At 34.2% G+C, this 13,580-nt stretch overlaps 1 long non-coding RNA gene across 2 annotated transcripts in view; it reads right to left on the bottom strand.

Moving 5' to 3' along the window:
- Window positions 1-13,580, bottom strand: part of LOC105375826 (uncharacterized) — a 60,415-nt gene that overhangs the window by 35,165 nt on the left and 11,670 nt on the right. Inside the window, exon 3 of one of the 2 annotated variants that reach the window (NR_188094.1) lies at window positions 486-636. The exons of the other annotated variant lie outside the window; for it this stretch is intronic. This is a non-coding gene — a long non-coding RNA (uncharacterized LOC105375826). The remainder of the gene's footprint in view (window positions 1-485; window positions 637-13,580) is intronic. 2 annotated transcript variants of the gene reach the window in all.

Genomic DNA, 13,580 nt, shown 5'->3' with positions numbered 1-13,580 from the left:
AAGTAATCTGCCTGCCCACACTTTGCTTCAGAAGCATTAATATATACAGCACATACTTCTGTCATCATATCTGTAACACTAAATGACACTACTTAAACATCTTATTTATCTTAGCAATCCAAGTTGCCTGACGTATCATGGACATTCAATAAATACCCGTTATATGATTGAATGAATCTCCAGTGTTTCACTGTTGCACGATGGAAAACATAAAGTGCATTTTGTATTTTACAGTATACATCAAATACAGACAAGTAACAAATTGGCAATTTTGAAATTTTTAAGCTATCCAATATTGTGCAATCTAATTATGAAATTTGCCACTACTTTAGGCTTAATAGAAAGTTTTAAAACTAGTTCTTTCCCCCAAATTTTAATATATTACCAATAAAATGAAGGTCTTATAATTTGAACTCATTTTAAATCCAGGGAGAGAGTGAACAGTTCTGCAAACCCAAGATGTCATGCACAGCATCAGGACACACCTCATAGTTCAGTGAAGGTGACAGGGCACAGTTGTCTCTCTTCACAGAGCAGAAGTACGAACCGTGTGTGGGGGAGCAGCTCCTCCTTGGTCCTCAGTCCCCACGGGGTGCCAGCAATGCCTCCTGCACAGATAGGCTGTCCTGGCCAGAGCTGGGAAAACCAGAAGCGCTCCTTCAGAGGATTATATAATTTGCTTTAACCTTAACAAAATGTCACCTTAACGATCCAAGCTTTACCTTTAGCAAGTCCTCTCTTTATAGACTCATTAATTACTAAAAGAATAACAACTGAAGATTGGAAAAACTTGTTACAACATGGACATCTCTCAATTAATCACCATGCCATCATATGATTAACACATCCTAGAAACACATTTTAAACATGTTAAAATTTGACTTTTCAATCAGAAAGCAGCAAGGCTACAAAAGTAGATCGAAAGATTCATCAAGGATGGAAAAATATGTTTGTTTGCAATATAAAAGAACATATTATGTATCTATATGCTGTAATTGAATAAAAGTCATAGAAGTGTCTTGATTCTGGCAAATGTGGCTGTCATCTGAATGTAAAATAAACACTAAGAAATGAATGCTGCAAATTTAGAGCAAGAATTCAGGAAATAACCCTTGGACTTTACAACTCGAGGATCTAGAATGTATCCAATAAAAAGTCAGCCTGCAGAAAGACCCTTTTCACACTCCCAGTTTCTAAGTGGTTAAAGCTTACTTAGACAGAAACTACCTGGAACTCCCTGCTGTGGTCTTTGTAAACAGCCGTCATAATCTTTTACTCCGAAAGTCTTAGCTGGTTTTAATATGATGTATTATTTTTAAATATTCTGCCTTATACAATGTTGGTTTCTATACTGTCTTACATCCCACTCCCCTCTAGAGTATGAAACCATTGAGCACAATTACCATTGTCTTCTTTTTTCATTTTTAATTGACAAATACTAATTGTATCTATTTATGGGATACAACGTGATGTTTTGATACATGTATACACTGTGGAATGATCAAATAAGGCTAATTAACATATCCACCACCTCACATACTTATTTATTTGTGGCAAGAACATTTAAAATCCACTGTTTTAGCATTTAGAAATTATACGCCATTACCTATAATTACTCTGCTGTGCAAGAGATGATTCCTCCTGTCTAACTGAAACTTTGAAACTTTTAACCAACATTTCCTCTTTCCCCGCCCACCACCTTCACCCCAGCTTCTGGTAGTCACCATGCTACTTACTACTTCTGAGTTTGACTTTTTTAGGCTCCCATAAACACTGAGACATGACAGCCACTTCAAAGTATATATTCTGTTTTATTACAACAGACCCAAACTTCCATTTCAAGCTTCTTCTTCTTTTGAAATCTAATGAGACATCATGTACTTACAAAATTAATTTCAATAATTTTAGGGGTACAATGACATTTTGTTACATGGATGAATGATATAGTAGTGGAGTGTGGGCTTTTAGTGCACTCACCACCCAAATAGTGTACATTTACTATCCAATAGGTAGTTTTTCACTCTTCACCCCCTTCCAGCCTCTCCACTTCCGAGTCTCAAGTGTCCATTATACCACTCTATATGCTTTTGTGTATGCATAGCTTAGCTCTCACTTACGAGTGAGAACATGTATACATCTCATAATTTGTTGAGAAAATGACATGTCAAGAAATGAATTCCCTCAGTTTTCTTATATAATTTGCATAAATATATCTACATACTCTCAGAACCTTCCTTGTGCCATCACCTTATTTCATCTGTCATTGTACATCTTGAATTCTGAATCTTACATAATACTGATTTCTTCCACATACATCACATTCATGCATCATTTCCCACACCAGAAAGTTCAAAATAGGCCAGTTGCAGTGGCTCACGCCTGTAATCCCAGCACTTTGGAAGGTTGAGGTGGTTGGATCACCTGAGGTCAGGAGTTCGAGACTAAAAATACAAAAATTAGCTGGGTGTGGTGGCGGGTACCTGTAATACCATCTTCTTGGGAGGCTGAGGCAGGAGAATCACCTAAGCCTGGGAGGCAGAGGTTGCAGTGAGATGAGATTGCACCATTGCACTCCAGCTCAGGCAACAGAGTGAGACTCCATTTCAAAAAAGAAAGAAAGAACAAAGGAAGGAAGGAAGGAAGGAAAGAAGGAAGGAAGGAAGGAAGGAAGGAAGGAAGGAAGGAAAGAAAAACAGAAAGAAAGAAAGAAAGAAAGAAAGAAAGAAAGAAAGAAAGAAAGAAAGAAAGAAGACATAAAGAAGGAAAGAAAGAAAGAAGGAAATAAAGAAAGAAAGAAAAAGACAGACAGAAAGAAGGAAAGAAAGAAGGAAAGAAGGAAAGAAAGAAAGAAAGAAAGAAAGAAAAAGACAGAAAGAAGGAAAGAAAGAAAGAAGGAAAACAAATAAAGAAAGAAAGAAAGGGAGAGTGGGGAGGGAGGGAGGGAGGGAGGAAGGAAAGAAGGAAGAAAGGAAGGAAGGAAGGAAGGAAGGAAGGAAAGAGTCAAAATAAATGGAAGAAACTTTTTCACCAGGACTCCTCTTCAAACTGCTGTCTGATCTTTCATTTTTCCCTCAAAAAATTCCGAAGAAGAATGTATTCACTGACTCCACTTAGTAGTCTTATACTCCTCAATCCCCTCAATCCAGTACAACTCAACTTCTCCTCTTAAGAGTCTACAAACATGATTAATACAGAGATCACACGTGAATTCTTAATAGCTAAATCCAAGGTATTTTTTTTCAGCCATTTTCTTCTTTGCCACCTTGGATTTTGTCTTTTGGGTGTTTTCCTTTTTTGAGACATTCTCTACTTCCTTACTTCTTTATTTTAATAGACAACATAGAGTTGGGTCCTATTTATCCTCTCTGACATTCTCTGTCTTTTAATTGGTCAATTTAGACCATTCACATTTAAAGTGATATTAGCATTTTGTATTAATATCTAATATCTTTATAACTGTTTCCTATTCATTGCATTTATACTTTGTTTCCCTTCCCCACCCCTAACCCCACCCCACCTCCATCTTTATTTTGCCTTCTCTAATTTTAATTAAATATTATTAATGATTCCATTTAATCTAATGTCTTATAATATCATTTATATTTCTTTTTTATCATTGGTTTTAGTGATGCCTTTGAATTCATTGCTGTGTTTTTATTTGCGTATTTGCATTAACTTATTTCAAGACAATAAATACAGAACTGAAATTAGAGCAGAGTCTTACACTGGTGGGCACTTCTCTCTTATGTATTCCTTTCCTGCAAAACAAAAGGAAGAATGCCATATTGCCCATTGACAACATATGAAAGACAATTCTTTAGCATTTTATTTTACTTTGGAAATGTTAAAAAAAGAACCTCTTGATTTTATTGGTATAGTGTACATACAAAAAATTAATAGAAGAAAAAGAAAACTCCAGAGTATATCATAAATTCAGTTATCTAAACACACAACACATATCAGTCATTCCCATAATATAAATACTTTAACATGTAAAATTATTTTCACTAAGAAACATACGGCTCATTCCTCATCTCAACATGAAGCCACTATTACATTATCTACTCTATTTTAAGGTGCTTATTTCTATTGACTGAAATTTATTTTGTTTTCATAAACATTATTTTAGAATAGTTTGATTTATCAAAAAGTTTCTAATATAGTATAGAAAGTACCATACAGCCCACACACAGTTTACCCTATTATTAGCATAATATATTGTTATGATTAATTTGTCACAAATTAATGAATATTAATACATTACTACTAACTATAGCTCATGTTTTATTCAGATTTTCTAAGTTTTCCCCTAATATTATTTTCCTTTTTTTTTTTTTTTGTCTTGCTCTGTCACCCAGGCTGGAGTGCAGTGGTGAAATCTCATCTCACTGCAACCTCTACCTGCCGGGTTCAAGCCTCCGAATGCCGGGTTCAGCATTGCTCCGCCTGCTGAAGCAATTCTTCAGCCTCAGCCTCCCGGGTAGCTGGTATTACAGGCGCTCACCACCACGCACGGCTAATTTTTGTATTTTTAGTAGAGACGAGGTTTCACCGTGTTAGCCAGGATGGTCTTGATCTCCTAACCTCGTGATCCACCCACCTCGGCCTCCCAAAGTGCTGAGATTACAGGCGTGAGCCACTGCACCCAGCCCCCCAATATTATTTTCTAATACATGATTCCATGTAAAATATTGTCTTAAACTTAGTCAACATGTTTCTTTAGGGTACTCCTCAGGCTCCTTAGTTTTTCAGGTTTTCCTTGTTTTTAATGACTTTGAACAGTCTTGAGTATAGGTGACATATTTTCTAGACTATCCCTTCATTGGCATTTGTCTGTTTCACACAGTCAGACAGCGGCTGTGGGTCTTAGGGAGAATGATCACAGAGGTAAGGGGTCATTCTAATTACATCATGTCAGGGAACAAACAAAATGAATTGTCACTGTTCATATTGACTTTGATTACCAAGGGAGGGTTTTTTAGGTTTCTGACTGTAAAATCACTATAAAGTTCCCCTTTCCATGCTGTATACATTCTAATCAAATAACTATGTGCAGCCCATACTTAATGAAGAGGGACCTAGGGTCCACCACTTTGAGGGCAGAGTATCTAAATACATTGAATTCTACTTGACAGATACATCTGGTCTTCTTCATTCATTAACTAATTAATTATATAAATGCATATATATATATATATACACACACACACACACACACACAGGCATTTATTTTATATATTGGGTTTCAACCCAACACATATATTTTATACTATGGGTAATAATCTGAAATTGTGTTACTTATTTTTGTTCAAATAGTTTCAGCTTTGGCCATGTGGAAGCTCAGTTGGCCCCTATGCTCATTGGCGTAGCACAGTAAGTGTGTGTGTGTGTGTGTGTGTGTGTGTGTGTGTTCTGTACTTTCTTACTTTCTGGAACCTCAAAATACTACAGATTCATTTTACGTATTTCCTGATGCAGTATTAGAATCAGTCATTTCAACAAGTAGCCGTATGCTGCCTGTGTGTGTAAACTTATCTGTGAATATTAGTTATGTGTAAATCTGTGTTTATATCAAAGTAGAGATGAGTTCACACTGACTTTTTCTCCCTTGCCAGTCAGTAGCCTCTCACTCCAGAAGTGAGAGACCTGGCTCCCACCACACCCAACCATTACATAATCATTCAAATCCGCTGTACATGTGTAGTGGTTTTAGAATTGTTAACCCCACGGAAAACAAGTTTATCAGCTACAGTACAATACAATGCCTCAGTACATTTCCTTGTACCTTTAATCTTACAGGCTTCATTTATTTGCAGAGTCACTTAGGTCAGCACACTCTCCCACATTTCTTTTATTGAGGTTGTTTCATATATTTGTAATACAGTTAGATCCTTTTATCACATTCTGCATTTCATTCTAGGATCCCATTACCTCTTATTTTTTTTAATTTTACATATATTAAGATTTGCTCTAGTGCTGTAAATTATATGGGAATTGAAAAATGCACAATGACATGCATTCACCATTATAGTATCATACAGAATAGATCACCACGTTAAAAAAAATTCTCCGTGCCTCGCCTATTCAAACACCCTCTTCCATAAACCCTAGGAGTCACTGATCTGTTCACCTTTTCCAGAATTTCAAATAAATGAAATAATACAGTACCTAGTCTTTTCAGAGTGGTTTGTTTCATGTAGCATATATAACTCATGTTTTTGCATGGCTTAATAGCTTATTTCTTTTCAATGCTGAATGATATTCTATTATGGAACACCACAATTTGTTTATTTATTCATCTCTTGAAGAGCATCTCAGTTGCTTCCAGCTTTATTATGAATAAAGCTTCTATAAATACTCACATGCCAGTATTTTTGTGGGCATTAGTTTTAAAATAACTTGAGTAGATACCTGGAATGCAATGGCCTGATTGCATAAGATTATATTTAGCTTTGTAAGAAACTGCCAAAATGTCTTCCAAAGTTAGTGCATCACTTTGAATTCCTATTAATAATAAATGAGAGCTCCTGTTGCTCTGCATATTTCTCAACAACATCAGATTTGAAGGATTTTAAACATTCTCATAAGTGTGAGTGGTATCTTGTTTTTAATTTGCATTTTCAGAATGACAAACAATGTTGCACATCTTTTGTCCTGCTTAGTCGTCATCTGTATTCTTGGGTGAGGGGCCTTTACAAAATTTTTGCCCATTTTTAATTGGATTGTTTTTGTATTGCTCAGTTTTTAGAGTTTTTTTAATATTTTGTGTGCAAACCTTTAATAAGATTTGTCTTTTTGCTTGAGTTGGGCTTGATATGTTCTTTTTTCCTCTAATTTTCTAAGGTGGAAGCTAAGGTTTTATATTTTAGATCATCTTTAAATAGAAATGTTCAAATTTCTCTCTGAGCACTGCTTTTGCTGCCTCCCATGTACTCTAATGTTTTATTTTAATTTTTATTATGCTCATAGTAGTGTTTTAAATATATCTTTAGATTTCCTTAGATTATGTGTTATTTAGAAGTCTTTAGCTTAATTTCCAAATATTTGGTGGATTTTCCAATTATCTTAATGTTATTGTATTTAATTTTCATATTTTGTTGTCTTAGAACATACTTTGTATGATTTCTGCTCTTTTAAATTTGTTAGAGTGACTCATTAAAACAAAAATAACAATATAACATGTAAGCTCTGGGTTGAACACTAAGAGTTTAAAAGCAATGCATACCTAAAAAGCCAACAGATGGGAAAATATAATAATAATAACAGAAGAAAGTATATACTTTCTCAACCCAATAATAGGCAAGTAAGGAGAAAAAAGAAAAAGGAGAAAAACGGTACAAATGGAAAACTATTAAGACTTTAAATTTAAGCCAAATATGTTAGTAATTGTATTGAGTCTTATTGGACTAAATGCTCAACTAAAATACAATAATGTCAAGATAGATAAAAATACAATTAAAATAGGACACATACACCTCAAAGAAAGCCTTGTATTCTGCTTCCCAGAGACATATCATAAATAAAGGACATGGTAAGTTTGAAATAATAGAATAAAATAAGATGTACCTTAAAAATTAATTAATCGAAACTATGCTAATATCATACAAAATGCAATTTGATTACAAATATTACTGAAGACAGAGGGACATTACATAATGACAAAAGTCAGTATAACAAGAAGACCTGTATTTTCCTCATTTCTAATGCATATAATAACACCACCTCAAAACTCTATTAAGTAACATCTAACAGTACAAAAGAAGAAACAGATAAGTCTGTAGCACACTTGGGGATTTTAGTAAACCTCAAATGATGCAATGGACAAAACAATCAGTGTGAGTATAGAGGATTTTAACATGGTTGACAAACCTATAGAATGTGTTTATTTGGTAAAAATTTGTTGCACTGTGTACTTAAGATTTGTAATTTTGCACATACGATTAGATATTAATTATTCAGTTGCATTGTAGAGAATCAGTGATCACCTGGCCAGGGATAGGATGCAATGGCATACAAATGAGGACATGTTCAGATGCCATGGCCTTAAATTTGACTAGAGATGATGGTAGTAGCTCAAGTTAAGGAATGGTTGCAAAAGTGAATGGATTAAGAGAAATATCAAGTACTTAGTGATGATTAATGATATGATTGTGATGAGAAGATCAAAGAAATATCAGTGTATTTTTTAGTAGATGAGTTTTTTTTAATGAAATCGAAAAATCATTTTAGTTTGCATCAGTGAATTGGATATGAGTTTGGGTGAAGAATATGAGAGGTTAAAAAGGACTCATCCATGACTTTCACTTCTGGAATTGCACTGGGTGGATATGTGCAAAACACAGGGGGAAAATGCACTTATTTGCATATCTGTGTCCACTTGCCTTACATAAAACTCCTTGAATAGAGGACTATTACAGATTATTAGTATCTGTCTTCCCTGTTTGAAGTTCAGCTGCTGAATCACTGTGATGGTAAATGTATGATGGTTGAATGATTCTTGATTTGCTACCTATGTTAGTCCGTTTTGCTTGTTATAAAGGAATACCTGAGACTGGGTAATTTATAAAGAAAAGAGGTTTATTTGGCTCATGGCTTTGTGGGCTGTACAAGCAGGGCACAGCATCTGCTCAGCTTCTAGTGAGGACTTGGGAAGCTTCCAATTATAGTGGAAGGCTAAGGGGGAACAGGTGTGTCACATGGCTAGAGAGGAAGCTCAAGAGAGGAAGTGATGCTGGGCTATTTTACACAACCACCCCTCACATGAACTGCGAGTGAGAACTCACTCATCACTGTGAGGAGGGCACCAAGCCAGTCATGAGGGATTTCCCCCCATGACCCAGACACCTCCCACCAGTCCCACTTCCAACACTGGGGATCACATTTCAACATGAGATTAGGAAGGGACAAATATCCAAACCATATCACTACCCCATTTCCTGGATGTTGGCACTCTGTGGAGCAGAGAAACAACTAAGTCTCAGCAGCTTGTCTTACACTCTTTCCTCAGAAATTTTAGAATGAACATCCCAGTTGGGTCTATTTCTGAAAGTAATCTTCAATTAACTCACATGTTTTAGCTGTTTAAAGATCAGAGGAACTCTCCTTACATAACCCTATTAATAAAGTGTTGTATCACAGGAGGAGAAAAAAACCCTAAATGTATGATTTTGGAGGTCATATAATACATCCGTTGTGTAATCAGTGTCACATTTAAGGGATCAAATAAGAAAGGAAAATGCTTGTCTGGATCACATCATCCAGAAGCCTATAGATCCTGGCATTTGCAAATAAAAAAACCAAAATAACCATCATGTCTTTTATTACCCTTGTAGTTATTTAAATAACCATTATTTCTATCATTAGATTCCATATTTGAAGGTTGCTCATTTTTCATTGCTTATATACATCTTCTTCACTTAACTTTAGCCATTAGTTATCTAATCACCGCCAGGCACTTACGCCGGTAATTCTAGAACTTTGGGAGGCCGAGGCAGGTAGATCACTTGACGTCAGGAGTTCAAAGCCAGCCTGGCCAACATCGTGAAACCCCATCTCTACTAAAAATACAAAAAAAAAAAGATTAGCCGTGTGTGGTGGCAGGTGCCTGTAATCCCAGCTACTTGGGAGGCTGAGGCAGGAGAATCGCTTAAACCCAAGAGGCAGAGGATGCAGCGAGCCAAAATCCAAGATTGTATCACTGCACTCCAGCCTGGGTGACAGAGCAAGACTTCATCTCAAAAAAAAAAAAAAGAAAGAAAGAAAAAAACACAAATTATCTAACCACTGTCCTATATTTTATTTGTATAAATTTAAGGGGTACAAGTGCAGTCTTAACTGTTGTATTTTAATATCATTTTAAAGATGATCAGATTAAAAAATTAATAAACTTACTGCTTTAAATTATAATACACTATGTGGAAAATGAGCCTTATGTCCAGGTAACATTTATAAATGCTATAATAATATTGCTTCAAAATATACCCTATACTAAGAAAACAAACTTATTATATAGACATTGAGCCGTGATAAATTGAATTTACAATAAAATTATTTTGTTATTATGTGGAAATTTTTCTCTTACACCAATTTACTAATGGAAGAACACTTAAAACACTGCTGGAGGGGAAGTAAATAATTGTTACTATAATATTTTATTTTACTGAGAAACCAACCAAAAACTGCATTGAGTGCCCAGCTCAAAATTGCATATGAAAGTATAAAAATATCACCATAAGAGTATGATATATCTTAATTTTAAGAACCTTGTTTATAACTATAAAAAGAAAAAATAAGTAAATGTAATGAAAGTTAACGTTAATTAAATGTCTTTAACAAAAGCAACAAAAGGAGATTCAGAATAATCACATTTTGGATAATTTACATGAGGAAGTATAAGATCTGATGGTATCTTATGAAATATGTAGATTAATAGTATTAATACCCTAAAATACTCATTTGTGTTGTGCTTCTATTTATTTTTTCTCAGATGGGGCTCAACAGATAGCCTCAGAATAAACTTTGAGATAGGTACAATTATCAAGAAGCAAAGTCTCATTTTCCACAGAAGATGTAAGTTGGTATTTAATGTGTTAATTATTTCCTTTAAATTAGATATACAGAAAAAATCAAAGCACATTTACATGAAATTGGAAAAATGGATTTTATGCCTAAGGAATATATAAAATACATAAAAACTTCCATATGAGCTGATTGGCAGTTTCTTCATGAAGTATTATAATTGTAATAAATTATGTTTTAAGGATCAACATTTAATTTTGCTTAAAATTGAATATTTACACTAACTAATAAGATATGTTTTCTACTGATTACTCTATAGCATAAAAGTCTCACATATAATTCATATTTGAGCCGTGATTATGTTTTTATATCTACCAATTTATCCAACAATGATTTAATGAATCTTTAGTGTGCCAGGCACTAAACCATTCAGATTAATAAGTATGACAAAAATGAAAACAAATTTTGACTAGAAATACATGCAAGATCTTAAGAACATCAAATACTCTTAACTATAATAACAGTATTTTTCCACAGTACTTAAATAGTTGTTCATAAACTATCCTCCGTGTGTCCCAACATTTAGCTTTTATCAGATTTTATATTCCCATTAAATTTAAATTTAAGGATGTTTCATTCATGATAAACCACTTCATGTGCAATTAGAAACTAGGGGGACAGAATTGGGCACGTGTCAAGTATAACACTGTGGTCATTAAAGAGATCCTACCATAGATGCTCATGCCAGGCTTACCTTAGATGAAGACTATACTTCTGCATTTGAGACAACATTGATTCCTGGACACATCGCTTAATGTGATTGGTAATAAAATAAGAATTCCTAGAGCCAATAAAATGCTTAAGATAATAATGATGAACTTATGGTTTAAAACCTAAACAAAAGTGGCATAACAAAAATATATTTTTCTTGAAGCATATTGCAAAATACTGTATTGTAAATACATTATTATTAAAATTTAGAGCAAATAATTGGCATTTTCTAAGGACCTAAGAATTTTTAAAACATGTTTACTGCTTTATATAATAATGAAATTAATACATCTCATTGTAAGGCAAATTTGAAAACTATAAAAAATGTAAACTACAGGAAAGATATACAGAAGAGATTTAAAAATTGAAATCCCAGCATCCAGAGTTCACCAGGGTGATATACATAACTATATTTTTATCTCAAACTGAAACCATAGAACAGATTAAATTTTTAATACACAGAATTTTAGAACTGTTTTGGAGTTACAGAAAAAAACTGGGACGTCCTGCTGTGGGGTGGGGTGAGGGGGGAGGGATAGCATTAGGAGATATACCTAACGTTAAATGACGAGTTAATGGGTGCAGCACACCAACATGGCACATGTATACATATGTAACAGAACTGCATGTTGTTCACATGTACCCTAAAACTTAAAGTATAATAAATAAAAGAAAAAAATTATAGATAGTACAGAGTTCCCCTACATCCTACACTCAGTTTTCTCTATTATTAACATCTTATGTTACTATGACACGTTTGTTTTAATTAATGAACAAATGATGGTACATTATTGTTAACTAATTAACTAAAGCCTACACCTTATAGAAGTGTCCTTAGTTTTTAAAGGATGTCCTTTTTCTGTGCCAGGATCCCATCTAGGTTACCTCATTGTAATTTGTTGCCATATCTTCCCAGGCTCCTCTTGGCTTTGTCAGTTTCTCAATTTTTGTTTTGTTTTGTTTTTAAGAACCTTGATATTTTTGAGGAGCCTTGGTGAGATATTTTACAAGGTGTTCTGTTAAAACTTCTCTAATATTTTTGTTTTAAGAAGACTGGTATTATAGGGTACTGGGAGGAAGGCCCAGAGATAAGTGCCCATTCCATCTTATCCTCTCAAGAGTGCATGCTATCAACATGATGTGTAGCCAGTGGTATTGACCAAGGTCACTTAACTGAGGTAGTGTTTGTCATGTTTCTCCACAGGAAAGGTACTCTTTATTCCCCTTTCCATATTGTAGGCTTTATAAGAAGTGCCTATGCACACAGTCCACACCTGCGGAGAATGCAGAGTTACAGTTTTCCATTGTGAGGGCAGAATTCAGAATGTCTATGTAAATCACTTGGAATATTTCTACATTGGGAGATTTGTTCTATCTATCTATCATCTATCTATCTATCTATCTATCTATCTATCTATCTACCTACCTATATGTCTATCTGTATCTGTATGTGCTCATGGATATTTATTTTATACTTTGGGCTATAATTTAATACTATTGAATTGTTTTTTTTTGGTTTTGCTCAAATATTTCTTGGTTTGGCCATTATGAGCTCATTTCAGGGGGCCGGTGTGCTCCTTTGAAGTACCCGCATCAAAGTGTGTGTGCGTGTGGATGTGCATGTGTGTGTGTTGGGCACTTTCTTCCTTTCTGAGACAAGATGTCCGGGCCTGTCTTTTATAATCCCTTCCCCAGTCCTAAAATCAGTTGGTACTGTTATTGGAGAATGATGTTAATATTGGCTGTTTCTTGTCAGTAGGGTGCTAGATTTATTTTTGCATTCAGCTTTTTTTAAAAAATATATATATAATAAGAATTTTCTTGTTAAGTTTTAAGTTTGCTTTTGGAATTGTTTTAAAATGCAGTAGTCCATTGTACATTTTGTTGAAAAATGATTATTTAAACAAGAGGCAATACTAACAATATAAATATGTTTGCAATTTTCCCTGTTCCTAATAACATAGCACACCTCTTTTTCTGCAAAATGAAGCTAGCTTTTATTTTAATAAAACAAATACATTTTGTTTAATACCTACTTCTCATAGTTTATATATTTGTTAGTAAATAAGTAAAATATGTATAAAATAATAATAGTCCAGATGAGATTATTAAATTGGATAGAAAATGTACTTGCAGGATTTAACAACAATAACATAATAGAACTAGAACAAATTTTCATTTTTAATTTTTGTGGGTACATGGTAGGTGTACCTGAGATGTTTTGATACCGGGATGTGATGTGAAATAATCACATCATGGACAGTTGAGTATTCATCCCATCAAGCATTTAT

This window comes from Homo sapiens, chromosome 8 (genome assembly GCF_000001405.40).
Source record: "Homo sapiens chromosome 8, GRCh38.p14 Primary Assembly".
Classification (NCBI taxonomy): Eukaryota; Metazoa; Chordata; class Mammalia; order Primates; family Hominidae; genus Homo; species Homo sapiens.
This window is presented reverse-complemented; position numbering and strand designations above follow the sequence as displayed.